Source organism: Homo sapiens, chromosome 11 (assembly GCF_000001405.40).
Source record: "Homo sapiens chromosome 11, GRCh38.p14 Primary Assembly".
Taxonomy (NCBI): domain Eukaryota; kingdom Metazoa; phylum Chordata; class Mammalia; order Primates; family Hominidae; genus Homo; species Homo sapiens.
The window spans coordinates 110,233,172-110,250,556 of NC_000011.10; the positions used below are offsets into that span (position 1 = coordinate 110,233,172).

Below are 17,385 nucleotides of genomic sequence, written 5' to 3' on the forward strand. Positions count from 1 at the left end.
TTGTCTAAGATGGGGAAAATGCAAACTATATTTCAAATGCACATACAACTGCAAATTTTAAATACCTGAAGTTGCTTCTTAACACGCTCATTTTTCTGTGTTTCGGTTACACGTTCTTCCTCGCTTCTATGGTTCATTACCCCTTCATTTGATAATTCAGCACTAGCTTCAGCATTATTCTCATCGTGTTCATCATGTTCGTTTTCTGTTGGAGGAATGACTGGTGGTGGTGGAGGTGGAGGGGGGGCAGACATCACAGTTTTTAACTCTTCTTTGGTCTTTTCCAAGTCTTCCTGGGCTGCAAAAGCCTGAACATTAAAAATACGTTTATGAGCAACTTACTTCAAAAATTAATAATCAAAACAATCAAGTTATACTCCCTTTTTAATAGAAACTGTATTTCAAGGTAATGAAAATAGGCCCTATTTATGAAACCTCTATTTTCATAAAAGAATGTCAACAGGTAAAAGAGAAAATCAAAAACATTATTATGCAAACCCTATTAGAATTACTCTGTGAGCTTCAAAGTGACAGATTAAAAGAAAAACAAGCATACATGCAAAAAAAGAACTATTAATTCTGGCAAGGATTATCAATTGTTTGCTAAAACTGTTGTGCAAATAGTTGATGAGAAATAGATATTCATATAATGCCTAAGAATCTCACACCCAATAGATTTTATTTGAGCCACAAGGGGAAAATGTAACCGAATAACGGAGGAATGAGACTGTCGTTACTCAAATCCAATGATCACTAAAAAATACTAATGGTGAGTTAACTAGATATTAAGTGTCTTCTGATATGATACAACCTGAAATATCTAACATCACCAATTATTTGGGTGATCATATTATCTTGGTTTACCTGGAAAAGTCCTGTTACACTGTTGTCCTGGTGTAATTATGAACAATACCCCCTTTTTCTCAAAAGTACTCCAGTTTAGATGTTCAATTATATGGAAGTCTCACCTTTGATGCACTGTAGTCAAAACATTTAATTTGAATTCCCCAGGTTCTAGATCTAACTTCTGGTTCAAAGGAAATACTGGAGTTAAAGGATAAGGTCAATGACACAAGGAAGTAACTAAACAAATATAGGAGGTGAGACATTCTGTAGGTCCCTTCAATAAATCAAAATAATAAAAAGAGAAACTGCCCTCCATTAAAAGAGACTTACAGCAAATACAGACAATGCAAAGTCCTCTGAACACTTGTCTGGCAAATTAGCTATGAGACTTTTTGGGAAATTCTTAATATAGTCTAATATTCTGAGATGAAAATTGACTAAAATGAAATAGTACATACAGTAAGATTTCATGTTGAATATATAAACAGGAAGTATCCTGGAAGAATATGTACTAAGGTTTTGCAGTATTTCCCCTAGTTTATGGGAATACAATTGTCTTTTGTGTGCATTTTCTAATTTTCTATAATTCACAGACTTGATATCTGTAATATGCTAATTTTTTAAAGTTTATGTGTCTCTAAATTTCATAAATCATCCCTAAAAGGGATCTAAAAAATTCTAATAAACAAGTAGAGTAACTGGGAAATTAACAGTAGCATTCCTTTTGTAGTTTTATTTATATATAACTAATTTTCAATACATATAAAATTACCCAATGAAATTTAAACTGCTACAAAGATTTACTTAAGAGTGCAAGAAAACTGTTTTCTGTATAAGTACATTTTATTGTAGAAAAATCATCTTCTAAAACTAAATATCATCTTTGGGGGTAAAAAAATTATCTTTTCAGTTAAGAGTTAATGTTGTTTGAATTAAACTCTCATTATCTTATATTCCCCCACTCTCCAACCAAAGCCTGATTTTACAATTGTGTGCTACTTTAGACAACAGTGGTTTCATCTACTTAGGACTCATATTAGAAATCTCGGTGTCAGCTGCACACAGTGGCTTACACCTACAATCCCAGCACTTTGGGGGCTGAGATGGGAGGGCTGCTTGAGGCCAGCAGTTCAAGACCAACCTGGGTTACACAGCAAGACCTCCATTCTCAACAAAAATAAAAATGATGGTGCATGCCTGTAGTCTCGGCTACTGCAGAGGCTGAGGTGGGAGGATCCCTTGAGCCCAGGAGTTCAAAGCTGCAATGAATTATGATTGTGCCACTGCACTCCAGCCTGGGACACAGAGTAAGACCATGTCTCTAAAAAAATAAAAATAATTCAACTTCATATCCAATCACTGGTTCCCATGCCTTTTTGTGACCACAAAATGTCTCTTATATCTTCCCATTCCTCTTTATTCTCATTTTCACATCCTCAGTTTGGGTCTTTATCTCTTAAGTATCCACTATCCCAATCCTTTCTTCACACTGATCACTACATGGTTTTTATAAAATCATATCTGATCATGTTACAATCCTGTTTTGAAATCTTCTAAGCCCCAAGTCAATCGATACTCCCACTGCCTTGCTGTAGCAGAGCATTTATTTAAAGCCTTTCACAATTCCCTATTATCAAACTTGAGGGCCACATCTCCTAACATTTCTGAACAACACTAAGCCTCGGCTGCTTATTGGTTATCCTCAAATCTATTATATACATTCATACTTCCTATACTCATTCAGTTCCCTCTGTCTAGAATGACTACTTCTTCAGTCTCTAACTATTCCCAATTTTACATCCCAATCTTTTGTACCCCCAAAATTTAATTCATTATTCAAGACCCAGCTTAAATGTATATGGGTCTCCCGACAACTCTCTGGTCCCCCAGAAATTAATCACCTCTTCTGTGTTCCCAAAGTACTTGGTTTATATCTGTAGATAGATATTTACAATACACATAACACGAGTATCTTTCCCACTCTAAATTATGACAGTATCTTACACTTATCACTACAAAGTCAGCATAATCCTGGGTATAAAAGCTATTCAATAAAAGCTAGTAAATGAATAAATGATTACTTTGTGTTGCCACTCAGTAGCTTCCTCTTCCTTTTTCTTCTTGGCTTCCTCTAGAAGTGCAATCTTGGCAGTGAATTCAGCAAGTTCTGCTGCCTAAAGTAAACAATATAATTCCAAAATTAAAATAACATATTTTGAATAATCTTATAAGTCAACAAAGTTTTAATGCACATGCTTAGGCTGTTTATGTTTTTCTTAGCCTTCCATTTAAAAAAATACAGTATTTCTTAAGATCTTAAATAGCTTATTTACAATAAGTCCTTTAGGTAATGAGCTAAGGAGACAAAATTAAAAAATTACTATTATTCTACAGACTAGTTAATCCTGCTTTCAGTAGCAGGAACTTAAAATGTGTAACTTAAAAGCTTTTTTAAAAAATTTCCATCAATAAACTATTTGTTAAAGTCCACAAAAGATAAAATATTTATCTAATGCTATATACTTTAAATGGCACTTTGTCAAATCATCTCATTTAATACCCCAATAATCCTAACAGGTAGTATCATTAACAGGTAGTATCATTCCTCCTTTTTTTTTTTTCAGACAGAGTCTCGTTCTGTCACCCAGGCTGGAGCCCAGTGGCACAATCTCAGCTCACCGCAACCTCCGCCTGCCAGGTTCAAGCAATACTCCTGCTTCAGCCTCCCGAGTAGCTGGGATTACAGGCGTGCACCACTGTGCCTGGCTAATTTTGTATTTTTAGTAGAGACAGGGTTTCGCCATGTTGGTCAGGGTGGTCTTGAACTCCTGACCTCAGGTGATCCACCTGCCTCGGCCTCCCAAAATGCTGGGATTACAGGCGTGAGCCACTGTGCCCGGCCATCATTCCTCTTTTCAAAGGGAGGGAACTGAGGCTCAGAAAGACCCAAAGACACATACATAGCAAGTACATGTGTGAACTAATATTTAAATCCAGGATCTTTTAAGTGACACGCTTACATCTAATTATTTGCAAGTCCACTAAATAAAAAAACCCAACCAATTATGGCCTCATAGGAACTATAACATATTATATATCTATAATATATTATATAACTATAACATATATCTATATTATATAACTATAACATATTAATTTATCTAAAGCAAAAGACGCCAACTGACTTATTACCGAACCTGTCCAATGTCAAAGTGAATCAGAACCTTTTGCTGACAGTAGACTCCATTTACAAATAATCTATAGAAAAATGCCTTATTCTTTTGTATTTTTAGGTTTTTGTTTAGGCAGAAATAAATTTTCTAGGTTTTTGTCTACATTTTGTTATTAAGTTACATGTTATCTTTGGCTTGCTCTCCAGAAAGCACAAAATGGTTGCTTTTCTTTTTTTCTTTTTTAGAGGGTTCACTCTATGCTTTTATTTAAACTTTTTTCTCTAAGAAGACAGTTCCTTACTAGCTGCTCCTGATTCTTCATCTGGTCGGCAGCTTGTTTTGCTATGGCAGACTTTGCCTCTTCAGCAGCTCGACGCTCCTTTTCAAGTCGTTCTGCTTCTTCTTTTGCTCGTTTTCGTTCTTGATCCAGTTCTAGAGCTTTTCGAGTCTGTTCTTCTAGTTCTATGAAATATGTGTATTCCCCCCAACAGTGATTAATTCCAATCATTCTCATTATCAAAAGAAGCTAAAATAGTAGCAAGAAATCAAATCTGTTCAATTTCTAAAAGTTAGCACACATGTAAATACATATATACCTCTTTGTTTTCTTGAGACAGGGTCTCGCTCTGTTGCCCAGGCTGAAGTGCAGAAGCTCACTGCAGCCTCGAACTCATGGGCTCGAGCAATCCTCCCGCCTCAGCCTCCCAAGTAGCTAGGACTACAGGCGCTATACCTCGTTTCCAACTTGGCAAAAGCCTAATAATTTTTAAAGAGAAATGAAAATCTTCTGCAATTCAAGTTATGTAAAAAGGCTACAAGCACGTAACTATTTTATTTTTAAAAAATAATCTCTCCATCTGAAGTTTTGACCTCAGTAAACAAATTGCCATGTTTCAGAAATCTATAATACATTTCAAAACTTCCATTAAGGTTTTACTTATCTAAACTAATAAGTAAATCCAAGAAATTAAGATTGAAAACAGTATTTACTGACCCCAAAATAGGAATTTTGATGTGATTATATGAATTATTGAAAAATGTGAGTTATTGGTATATATTCATTCCTAAAGCATGAAGATAAGCAATATTGGGAGATAAATAACATGAATTTTAATCCTTAGGTGCATAGATCACTAAATCAACTCTTTTCTTATTCCAATGAGTTGAACAGGAAAGGAAAATAAATTTTTAAGAGAGTTTAACAGTACTAACTTTAAATATTATTTTGACAATTATTTAAGCCCTGTGACAGAAGACAATAGAATGCCACCTAGTAAGACAGTACAAGGTCCTACAAAGAATTATTTTCCCTTACTGTATACTAAGAAAATCTATATGTCATGAAATTTGAAAGCTAACTGTAACTTACAAGCTTTTACTTACTGTTCTTAATTTTCTTGGTCTTGATCAGAACTAGTTGAGTAATTGCAGTTAAGACTTGGAAGGTTTTAGGCCAGGTGTTGTGGCTCATGCCTGTAATCCCAGCACTTTGGGTGACTGAGGTGGGTGGATCATTTGAGGTCAGGAGTTTGAGACCAGACTGGCCAACCTGGTGAAATCCCGACTCTACTAAAAATACAAAAATTAGCCAGGCATGGTGATGGGCGCCTGTAATCTCAGCTACTTGGGGAGGCTGAGGCAGAAGAATCTCTTGAACCCAGGAGGCGGAGGCTGCAGTGAGCCAAGATTGCACCACTGCACTCCAGCCTGGGCGACGGAGCAAGACTCTGTCTCAAAAAAAAAAAAAAAAAACAAAAAAAACACTTGGAAGGTTTTGAGAGGGTTGGAGAAGAATGACTCTTTGGTTAGGCTTTGGTTAGGCTCACGCCTGTAATCCCAGCACTTTCGAAGGGAAAGGTGGGAAGACCGCTTGAGGCCAGGAGTTTGAGACCAGTCTGGTCAACAGAGTGAGACATCATCTCTTCTTAAAAACTAAAATTAAAAAAAAAAATCAGTAGCTATTTATATATAACAACAGTAAACAATCTGAAAAAGAAACCAAGAAAGCAATTCCATTTACCATAGCCAAAAAAAAAAAGTAAAACACCTAGGAATCAATCTAACCAAAGAAGTGAAAGAAGGACATTGGTCTAGGCAAAGATTTTTTGTGTAAGACCTCAAAGGCACAGGCAAAGAGAGATAATGGGTGTTACATCAAGCTAAAAAGCTCTATACAGCAAAAGAAACAACCAACAAAGTGAAGAGATAAACAAAGAATAGAAGAAAGTGTCTACAAACTGTCTATCTAAAAAAGGACGAAAAACCAGAATATATAAAGAGCTCAAACTCGATAGCAGAAAACCAAATAATCTCGTTTACAAATGGGCAAAACATCTGAACTGACATTTCTCAAAAGACGTACAAATGGCCAAAAGCTATATGAAAAAAATGTTCATCACTATAATCACAGAAATATAAATCAAAACCACAATGAGATATCATCTCACCCCAGTCAAAATGGCTTGTATCAAAAAGACAGGCAAGGCTGGGCAAGGTGGCTCACGCCTGTAAATCCCAGGACTTTGGGATTTACAAAAATTAGCTGGGCATGGTGGCACATGTAATCCCAGTTACTTGGGTGGCAGAGGCTAAGAATCACTTGAACCCGGGAGGTGGAGGTTGCCTGGGTGATAGAGGAAGACTCTGTTTTTAAAAAAAAAAAAAAAAAAGGCAGTAACAGATGCTGGCGGGGATGTAGAGAAAAGGAACACTCATACACTGTTGGTGGGAATGCAAATTAGTAAGGCCGCTATGTAGAACAATATAGAGTCCTCAAAAAACTAAAACTACGGAATTACCATAGTATCCAGCAATATCCAAAACATAGTATCCAGCAATATCCAGCAATAGTATCCAGCAATATCCAGCAATATCCAAAACAAAGGAAATCAATATATTGGAGATAGTTGTACTCCTACGTTTATTGCAGCACTATTCACAATGGCCAAAACATGAAGTCAACCTAAGTGCTTAAAGAAAATGTGGTATACATACACTATGGAATATTATTCAGCCATAAAAATAAATGAAATCCTGTCATTTGCAGCAATATGGATGGAACTGGAAGCCATCACGTTAAGTGAAATAAACCAAGCACAGAAAGACAACTATTGCATGTTTTCACTCATATGTCAGAGCTAAATCTCATAAAGATAAATAAACTGGTGGTTATCAAAGGCCAGGAAGTGGGTGGGGGGAGTTGAAGGGAGGAGAAAAAGAATAGAAATGTATTTATTACTACTGAACTGTATACTTAAAAACGGTAAAAATAGGCCGGGCGCGGTGGCTCACGCCTGTAATCCCAGCACTTTGGGAGGCCGAGGCGGGCGGATCACGAGGTCAGGAGATCGAGACCATCCTGGCTAACACGGTGAAACCCCGTCTCTACTAAAAATACAAAAAAAATTAGCCGGGCGTGGTAGCGGGCGCCTGTAGTCCCAGCTACTCGGGAGGCTGAGGCAGGAGAATGGCGTGAACCCGGGAGGCGGAGCTTGCAGTGAGCCGAGATGGCGCCACTGCACTCCAGCCTGGGCGACAGAGCAAGACTCCGTCTCAAAAAAAAAAAAAAAAACGGTAAAAATGGCCAGGCACGGTGGTTCATGCCTGTACTCCCAGCACTTTTGGGAGGCCGAGGTGGGCAGATCACCTCAGGTCAGGAGTTCGAGACCAGCCTGGCCAACATGGCAAAACTGCATATCTACTAAAAATACAAAAAATTAGCTGGGTGTGGTGGCGGGCGCCTGTAACCTCAGCTACTCAGGAGGCTGAGGCAGGAGAATCACTTAAACCCAGGAGGCGGAGGTTGCAGTGAGCCGAGATCACACCACTGCACTCCAGCCTGGGCGACAGAGTGAGACTCTGTCTCCAAAAAAAAAAAAAAAAAAAGGGGCGGGGGGGCAAAGATGTGTACATTCTGTATTATATGTGTATATTTTACCTCAATAAAAAATAAATAATATAAAAATTCTATGTGGCTATTTGGCTATAAAGACAAAATGTATACGGCACTGGATGTTACCATAGCGATATTCTACGATTACTCATTTTAGAATCTGCCTTCTAAAATTCAGATAATCAAGCTGGCCTATCAAACTTTTCTTTCTTTCTTTTTCTTTTTTTTATTTGAGATGGAGTCTCACTCTGTTGCCCAGGCTGGAGTGCAGTGGCACGATCTCAGCTCACTGCAACCTCTGCCTCCTGGGTTTAAGCAATTCTCCTGCCTCAGCCTCCGGAGTAGCTGGGATTACAGACGTGTGTCACCACACCCAGCTAATTTTTTTATTTTTAGTAGAGATGGGGTTTCACAAGGTTTGCCAGGCTGGTCTCGAACTCCCGACCTCAGGTGATCCACCCGCCTTGGCCTCCCAAAGTGCTGGGATTACAGGTGTGAGCTATTGCACCCAGCCTCAAACTTTAATAATTAATTCTTTTCATCTGATTGACTGATATATAAAACAACACCCACAAAGCTCATGGTTTTATCTTCCATCTAAACAAGCAAACAAATAACTAAAGAATTGAAAGTAGGGTCTCAAACCAATACCTGAATATCCATGTTCATAACAGTATTATTCACAATAACTAAAACACAAAAGCAACCTGAGTGCCCATCAACAGATAAGCAAAATGTGGTATACAAATAGAATATCATTCAGCCTTAAAGGAAGGCAATTCTGACATATGCTACAACGTGGATGAACCTTGAGGGCATTATGTTAAGTGAAATAAGCCAGTCACAAAAAGACAAATACTGTATGATACCACTTATACAGGTAGAATACTCAAAATCACAAAGACAAAAAGTAGAATGATGGTTGCCAGGGGTTGTGGGGAGGGGGGAAATGGGGATTGTTTAATGGGTGCAGAGTTTTAGTTTTACAAGATGAAAATAATTATGTAGCTGGATAGTGGTGATGGCTGCACAACATTCCCAATATATTTTGCATCAGTGAACTACATTACTTAAAACGGCAAAAAACTGGCCGGGCACGGTGGCTCATGCCTGTAATCCCAGCACTTTGGGAAGCCTAGGCGGGCGGATCACATGAGGTCAGGAGTTTGAGATCAGGCTGGCCAACATGGTGAAACCTCGTTTCTAATAAAAATACCAAAATTAGCCAGACATGGTGGCAGCCACCTGTAATTAGGCAGGAGAATCGCTTGAACCCGGGAGGCAGAGGTTGCAGTGACCCGAGATTGCACAATCGCACTCCAGCCTAGGGGACAAGAGCAAGACTTTGTCTCAAAAAATTTAAAAAAAAAAAAATTAAAAAAAAAAAAAGCCAAAAACCTCAATGCTTTATTTTCTCTCATAATAAAAATTGTTTCTGTATTATGAGACAAAAAAGAGAAATAAGTCTGGGTTACAAAGTTAAATTTTGAAACATTCCCCAATATTCATTTTATCAGCTTTTTGTAATAAAGGTCAATTTGAAAAATGACAGATAAGGCAATAGCTATTTTGTGATATATTAAGAATTGTATAAAAGTGTAAGTTTTAAAAAATGTTTAAAATGAATTCTGAAAACATCAGGTCTACTCCAGTCCCTCCTAAAAAAGGAAGCTTTTTAACAGTCATATAGCCCATAAATGGTTTCTGCTGTTTCCTCTCCAATTAACTGAGTTAATACAGGAGTTAGCAAACTATGGCTCATGGAGCAAACCCAATCCAATGCTTTTTTTTTTTTTTGGTAAATTAAGTTTTACTGGAACATAGCCACCCTCATTTGTTTAGGTATTATAGTACACAGCTGCTTTCACACTGCAATAGCAGAGCTGAATAGCTGGGACAGAGACCATGTGGTCTGTAAAGCATGAAATATTTATCATCACTGGTAATCAAGAAAATAAACTACAGACAGAGTATCCTAATCCAAAAATCTGAACTCCAAATTACTCCAAAATCCTAAATTTTTTGAGCATTTGCATGACACTCAAGGGGAATGCTTACTGACAGCATTTCAGATTTTGGAATTTTGAATGAGGGATGCTCAACCAGTAAGTATAATGCAAATATTCCAAAATTTTAAAAAAAGAAAAAAACCAAAAACCAAAATCCTGAAATCTAAAACACTGTGGTCCCCAAGTATTTAAGATAAGGGATACTCAACCTGTATATTCACTATATACTCACCAGAATGGCTAACAAAACCAAACCCTAACAATAAAAACTAGTGGAAGAAGTGATAAGGACATAGAGCAAATGTACTTTCAAACACTAGTAACAGGAATAAAAACTGATCCATGTCTGGGCACAGTGGCTCAGGCCTGTAATCCAGCAATTTGGGAGGCCAAGGCAGGCAGATCACTTGAGGCCAGGAGTTGGAGACCAGCCTGGCCAACAAGTATATAACCCTGTCTCTACTAAAAATATAAAAATTAGCCGAGCGTGGTGGTGCACATCTGTAATCCCAGCTACTCAGAAGGCTGAGGTATGAGAATCGCTTGAAGCTCAGAGACTGAGGCTGCAGTGAACCGCGATCATGCCACTGCACTCCAGCCTGCGTGACTGAGCAAGACCTTGTCTCAGGAAAAAAAAAAATACATGCAATATAAATGTCCAAAAAGCACATAGAAAGACACTCAACGTCACCAGGTATTAGAGATATGCAATAAAAACTATAAAATACCACTTCACACCCATTAAGATGACTATAATCCAAAAGACAAACATTAACAAGTATTGGTGAAATGTGGAGAAATCAAATTTGCTGGTGGCAGGGTAATATGGTACAGTCACTTTAGAAACCAATGTGGCAGTTCCTCAAAAAGTTAAATACAGTTACCACATGACCCAGCAATTCCACTCCTTAGGTTACACCCAAAAGAAATGAGGACATATGAACAACAAAAACCTACACAATGAATGTTCATAACAGCATTAGTCACCTTAGTCAAATAGTGGAAACAATAAAAAACATCAGATTTCAAACAAATAAATAAAATATACCATATCCATAAAATGAGTTTGAGACCAGCCTGACCAACATGGCGAAACCCCGTCTCTACTAAAAATATAAAAATTAGCTGGGTGTGGTGGTGGACGCCTGTAATCCCAGCTACTCAGGAGGCTGAGACAGAAGAATTGCCTGAACCTGGGAGGCGAAGGTTGCAGTGAGCCAAGATCACGCCATTTGCACTCCAACCTGGGGCAACAGAGTGAGATTCTGGCTCAAAAAAAAAAAAAAAAAAAAAAAAAGAGAGTGGAGTGCTGATAAATGCCACAATATGAACGAAACTTTAGAATATTATGTTAAACAAAAGAAGCCAGTCACAAAAGACCACATTTTGCATGATTCCATTCATATGATGGTCTAGAACAGACAAAACTTTAGAGAAAGATTCGTGGTTGTCTACAGCAGAGAGAAGGGGTACTGAGAAGAAATGGGAGTGACCGCTAATGGGTATGGGATTTCTTTTTGGGATAATGAAAATGTTCTAAAATTTATTATGATGATAGCTGTACAACTTTGTGAATATACTAAAAACCCTTAAACTGTATACTTCAAATGGGTAATTACATGGTGTGTAAATTATAAGCTATATCTCAACAAAGCTATTAGAAAATGATAAACAAAACTAATCTCTATATGATGGTATAAGTCAGAATGACAGAAATCACATTTGAAGTTATAAGAAAAAGAGAAAAGGAGACTGTGTGAGGGCAGATAATTTTGTCTATCATGTTCAGGGCACTTATGGGAGTAAATTCACTTCGTAAAAATTGAGCCTCATACTTGAGAAATACGTATATTACTGTATCTGTACTTCAAAGTTTTTTTTTTTTTTTTTTGAGACAGAGTCTCGCTCTGTCATCCAGGCAGAAGCGCAGTAGTGCAGTCTTGGCTCACTGCCAACTCTGCCTCTTGGGTTCAAGTGATTCTCCTGCCTCGGCCTCCCTAGTAGCTGGGATTACAGGCACCTGCTAATTTTGTAATTTTGGTGGAGATTTACACTCCACCGTGTTGGCCAGGCTGGTCTTAAACTCCTGACTTCAAGTGATCTGCCCGCCTCAGCCTCCCAAAGTACTGGGATTACAGGCATGAGCCACCACGCCTGGCCAAATTTTTTGTTTTTTAAAAAATAAAACTATAAGGCTGGGTGCAATGGCTCATGCCTATAATCCCAGCACTTTGGGAGGCCAAATGCAGGAGAATCACTTGAGCCCAGGAGTTTGAGGCTACAGTAAACCTTGATCACACCCACTGCACTCCAGCCTGTGCAACAGAGTGAGAACCTGTCTCACCAAAAGAACCCACCTAGAAATTTTCTTTTTAATCTCAGAATGCTAAATTAGGGATTATTTCCATTTTAGAAATTAGGATCCTAAGGAAATTAAGATGTTAAAATGACTTGCTTATAGTCATATTCTAGGTTAATGACAGAAGTAAAGCTTTTTAAAATTGTAAACAATATATATCTAAATTAGACACTCCCCTCCTACCCACAACTACTGCTTTCATAACATTATCATGTTTCCTTTCCTTGTAGCACTTAAAACTATGTAAAATAATTGTATTATTTAATATATTGCTTTGTCTTCCCCCAGTAAAATGTAAACTCCAGGAGAATAGGAACTCTTTTTGTCCAGTACTATAATCTCACTACTAGAAAGGTGCCTAGTACACACAAGGTGTATCCAAAATGAATGAAATCATTATACCAACTCTTTTCTGTGGTTTATCTTCTTGAAGATGGAATTCACTTTGATATTTGCTGGGACAGTAACTGAATGCAGGTCTGGTGCTATATATATAGATATTTCATTTTTTTTGAGACAGGGTCTCACTCTGTTGCTCAGGCTGGAGTGATCCTCCCACCTCTCAGCCTCCTGAGTAGCTGATACAACAGGCATATGCCACCACACCTAGCTCACTTTTATTTTTCGGAGAGATAAGATCTCACTATGTTGCCCAGACTAGCCTTAAACTCCTGAATTTTAGCAATCCTCCTGCCTCAACCTCCTAAAGTGCTGGGATTACAGGCATGAGCCACCGCACCCAGCCTAGGTTATTGCTATTTATTCTCCTAGAAGTATTATTTCTAATCCTCTTGGAATTGAAATGATCAATCAGCTTGCGCATTTATAGCAATCTTTGTGGCTTTCCCCTCTAGCTACTCTCCCTTACAATTATTCTACTCATTGCTCAAGAGTACGTCTCCACCACAGCAGGCTGGTGTAAGAAATCAAAATATATCTTAAATAAGACTGAGTATCCCTAATCCAAAAAACGTGAAATCTGAAATGCTACAAAATCCAAAACTTTTTAAGCACCAACATGGCATTCAAAGAAAATGCCCAGGGCCGGGCATGGTGGCTCACGCCTGTAATCCCAGCACTTCAGGAGGCCGACGCGGGTGGATCACTTGAAGTCAGGAGGTCAAGACCAGTCTGGCCAACATGGCGAAACCCTCTCTCTACTAAAAATACAAAAATTAGCTGGGCCTGGTGGAGTACGCCTGTAATCCCAGCTACTTGGGAGGCTCAGGCAGGAGAATAGCTTGAGCTGAGATCATGCCACTGTACTCCAGCACAGATGACAAAGTAAGACTGTGTCTCAAAAAAAAAAAAAAAGCTCCGATTTTGGATTTTCAGATTTGAAATGCTCAATAGGACAATGCAAACATCCCAAAATCGGAATATTTCTGTTCCCAAGCATTTTCAACAAGGGATATTCAACCTGTGTTGGCTATTTCCAACAGAACTGAATAGCTTGTTTTACCAATTGTAAGAAAGCAGATTATTAAATAGAGCTTTTATAAAGAGTGTAGACTTCATGTTACCCCTGAGAGCCTGCTGCTTAGAGAGGAGAAAAACATTTTATTGATGCAATACTTTTTTTTTCTTGCTTTCTCCACTATTCGCTGAGTGAAAGTGGTATATCCTAAAGTTACTTAATATAAACCACATATTATAAATCTAGTATATCCTTTCTATATACAGTAGCACTTTGGTTATATATTGCCTAAGAAGTAAGTTCTTCCAAACACATTACCAAAAACAAACAAAAAACGTTATAACACGTCTATGTGTTGTGTATTTTCTAGTAGAATAAAGTAAAATATTTTTAGGAATTGAGTTCCAAAAAAGTTCATATAGTCAGAATAGCTTAAATTACTTTAATTACTTAAATGCCTTACTTATACAGCCATAAAGCATTGCATACTTTTCTTTAAATGCCATAATGTATTGCATATGTGTTTTTTGTTTATAAAGCCCATATATACATTTACAATTATTTAAGAATACATATGAAAAATATTTGCATGTTTAAAACAAAAAACTAAAAAAAGAAAAATATCTGCATGTTTAAGAGAAACATCAGCACTGTATAAATGAATGTGCCTTAGTGAAACATGTTTATGATGTGATTCCACTAAGTATTAATTTGCCAATTAAATATACAATTGTCCTATATAACAAATAAGGTTTAAGAGTACTAAAAAAAATACCACTATCTGACAACAGAGCAATAATAATTTTTAATCCATTTTCAAAAAAGAAACTTTTACCTTTCTGAGCTTTAATTGTCTGCTCTTCAATTTGTTTTAGACGTTCCATTAGCTCTTCCTTTTCACGTTCTATTCTTTCCTTTTCCTTTTCTGCTATTTCTCTTTTCTTCTTTTCATTCTCTAATTGTGCCCTTAAAAGGAATTGCAATTGCTGTTACAAATTAATACACAAAAATATTATTCATGTGATGGAATACTACTCTGCCATAAAAAGTAACAAAATAATGTCTTTTGCAGCAACTTGGATGAAGCTGGAGGCCATGATTCTAAGTGAAGTAACTCAGAACATACAAATGCCATATGTTCTCACTTATAAGTGGGAGCTAAGCTATGAGGATGCAAAGACAGAGTAATATAATCGACTTTGGTGACTTGAGAAGCAATGGTTGGGAATGGGGTGAGGGACAAAAGACCACATATTGGGTATAGTGTACATTGCTCGAGTGACAGGTGCACTAAAATCTCAGAATACACAATGATAGAACCCATTCATGTAAACAAAAACCACCTATATTCCAAAAACTACTGAAATAAAATAATAATAATTGGAAATAGTATTCATGTGAAACCTAAGAACTGAATCAACTAAGAAGAAATGACAACATAAATATTTTAACAGGGTTTTCATTGTATTACACTTGTGTTCAAAATAGCATATGTAGTTAAAAGTACAGGACTATGACATACATACACTCATGTACGTACATACATGTGCTGGGTTCCAATGTATTACTTATTGTGGGTTCACAATAAAGACCACTGAGACTATTTTTAAAAAATATTAAAAACTTAGACATTTAGGAACATCCTCAAAGGATGAGTTTACAAAACTGCTAGTAAAGTATAACTGTCAAATATATATTCCTGCATATAGAACATGCTTATAAGGCACACTTTAATGGGGGAAAAATCAGATTTACCATTTGCATACGGGATGAACTCTGACAACAAATTAAATGTCAGCACCAAAAGAGTTAACCACACAGTTGCCATGCCCCAAGAAAATATCTTCTTTAGATTAACCGGAGACCTCCACTGGGGAAATAATAAAGGACTGAAGGGAGCAAACAAAGGCATGTATCTTAAATAAAAGGGAGGGCAACAATTTTCAATCATTAAAAATGAATTAATCCAAGTTTAATTTCTTGGGTAGTACCCATTTATGCCTAGATACAAGACAACAAATCAATTTCACCTCCCTTCACAATTCCATTAGAATGACAGTAGGTGGCTAATGATCTTAAAAAATATCATCAGAGCTCAGTGGGAAAAAATGCCTTGATCATTTAGCTGCACCTGCCATGGGCCTGATGAGAGTGTTTCTTTTAAATACTGCCAAATTCATTCACCAAACATCTACCAAGAGCCTACCATGGGTCAGAATCTATGTTAGGGGCAAAAATATAAAGAGGAATAAAAGTCACATGGGGAAACTCTTATTATCAGACAATATTGTTTACTTAAGTTGAATCAATATTCAAATCACTACTTTAATAACTTAAAAATCAGTTATGATTTCATCTCTGAAATTTATCTGAGTATGCTTTAATGTTCCACAAAAAGAGCACTGCCACCTACTGTCAATTCTGAATTTCAAGCACAAAACCCTGTAGTTTCTCAACTTGCAGTCTCTGATAAACTTATCAGAAAAGTTTTGCTATCAAAAATTTCGCCCTTATTTATAAACCTACATTTTAAAATTCCTGCAGCTCCTAGATACCCATTTGCCCCTAAAACAGAAAGAGAGCTTACCTTTGGGGCAAACAGGTAGAGGTGTCACAAGTCAGCAAGAGGTCAAACACTGATGGTGACCTCCTAGTGCATGCACTAAGCTAAAACATAACGGGTCACCACACCTTGCTGCTGGTTTAATGAATCCTTCCACCATTTAATAATCTAGAGAGGCTGGGCATGGTGGCTCACCACATTGTGAGGCAAAGGCGGGAAGACTACCTGAGGTTAGGAGTCCAAGACCAGGGCAACATAGCGAGACCTCATCTCTTCTAAAAATAAGAATAAAAAATTAGCCGGGCATGGTGTGTGTACCCATAGTCCTGGTTACTCAGGAGGCTAAGGTGCGAGGATCACTTGTGTCCAGGAGGTCAATGTTGCAGTTAGCTATGATCGTGCCACTGTGCCCCAGCCTGGCAGGCAACTGAGCAAGACCCTGTCAAATAGAAAACAAAAAAACTAGGGCCTGGTGGTCATTCATGTAAGGGAAGCTCCATCTCTGTTCTGGAGTTCCCTATGCCTACGAGGTACTTTCGCAACAGCAAGGAGGAAGAGCCAGTAACTATTCCTAACCCCAGTATTTGGGCTCACTCTGCAGGACATTCACCTCTTTCTCTTTATCCTATTTCAATTTATAAAGCATATACAGGCAGAGAGATTTAAGGAGATACAAGCTTCCACACTTCTAGAAGACGTGAGTTTAAGGGAAAGTTTGTGTTTCCCAATCTCTCCGGGCAAAAGAAAGGCCTGGTGGCCCCCACAGTGGCTGCTGACCTTTCTGTGTTCTTTAGATAGCTGAAACATCACGCTTTGTGTGAAAGCAAAAGAAGCAAAAGCACAGTACTTTTCAAGTAATTGCTAGTAAGGCCAAAAGCTATTCTTGTCCATGCCAGGTTGTCTGCCACCCTAGGATGTTGATTAGACTACCCAATCACTCCCCAGCCTCTATGCAATCACATCCAGTTCTGCCACAGTTCCCAAGCCAACTACCTCCCTCCCTCCTTTCCCAAGGTCCCAAGACAATTCTCGAGGACTTACACTGCAAACCAGATCTCAACCAGAAGTCTACCATCATATTCCACCAACTAAGAGCCTTTCAGACCCAGCTCTGGCATATATGGCC

The 17,385-nt window shown here is 37.8% G+C and overlaps 1 protein-coding gene across 20 annotated transcripts in view; it reads right to left on the reverse strand.

Annotated features, from left to right (window-relative positions):
- RDX (radixin) overlaps nt 1–17,385 on the reverse strand; it is a 121,693-nt gene that overhangs the window by 58,250 nt on the left and 46,058 nt on the right. For 17 of the 20 annotated variants that reach the window (NM_001260493.2, NM_001440510.1, NM_001440505.1 and 14 more), the window contains 4 exons: nt 14,532–14,662; nt 4,321–4,481; nt 2,928–3,020; nt 66–308 (listed from right to left, as the gene is read on the reverse strand). The exons of 1 other annotated variant lie outside the window; for it this stretch is intronic. In NM_001260493.2, coding sequence (NP_001247422.1) covers nt 66–308; nt 2,928–3,020; nt 4,321–4,481; nt 14,532–14,662 — 628 coding nt within the window. Of the gene's footprint in view, nt 1–65; nt 309–2,927; nt 3,021–4,320; nt 4,776–5,402; nt 5,589–14,531; nt 14,663–17,385 lie in introns of those variants that run through there. 2 more of the 20 variants (NM_001440509.1, XM_047427391.1) reach the window with 2 other exon arrangements.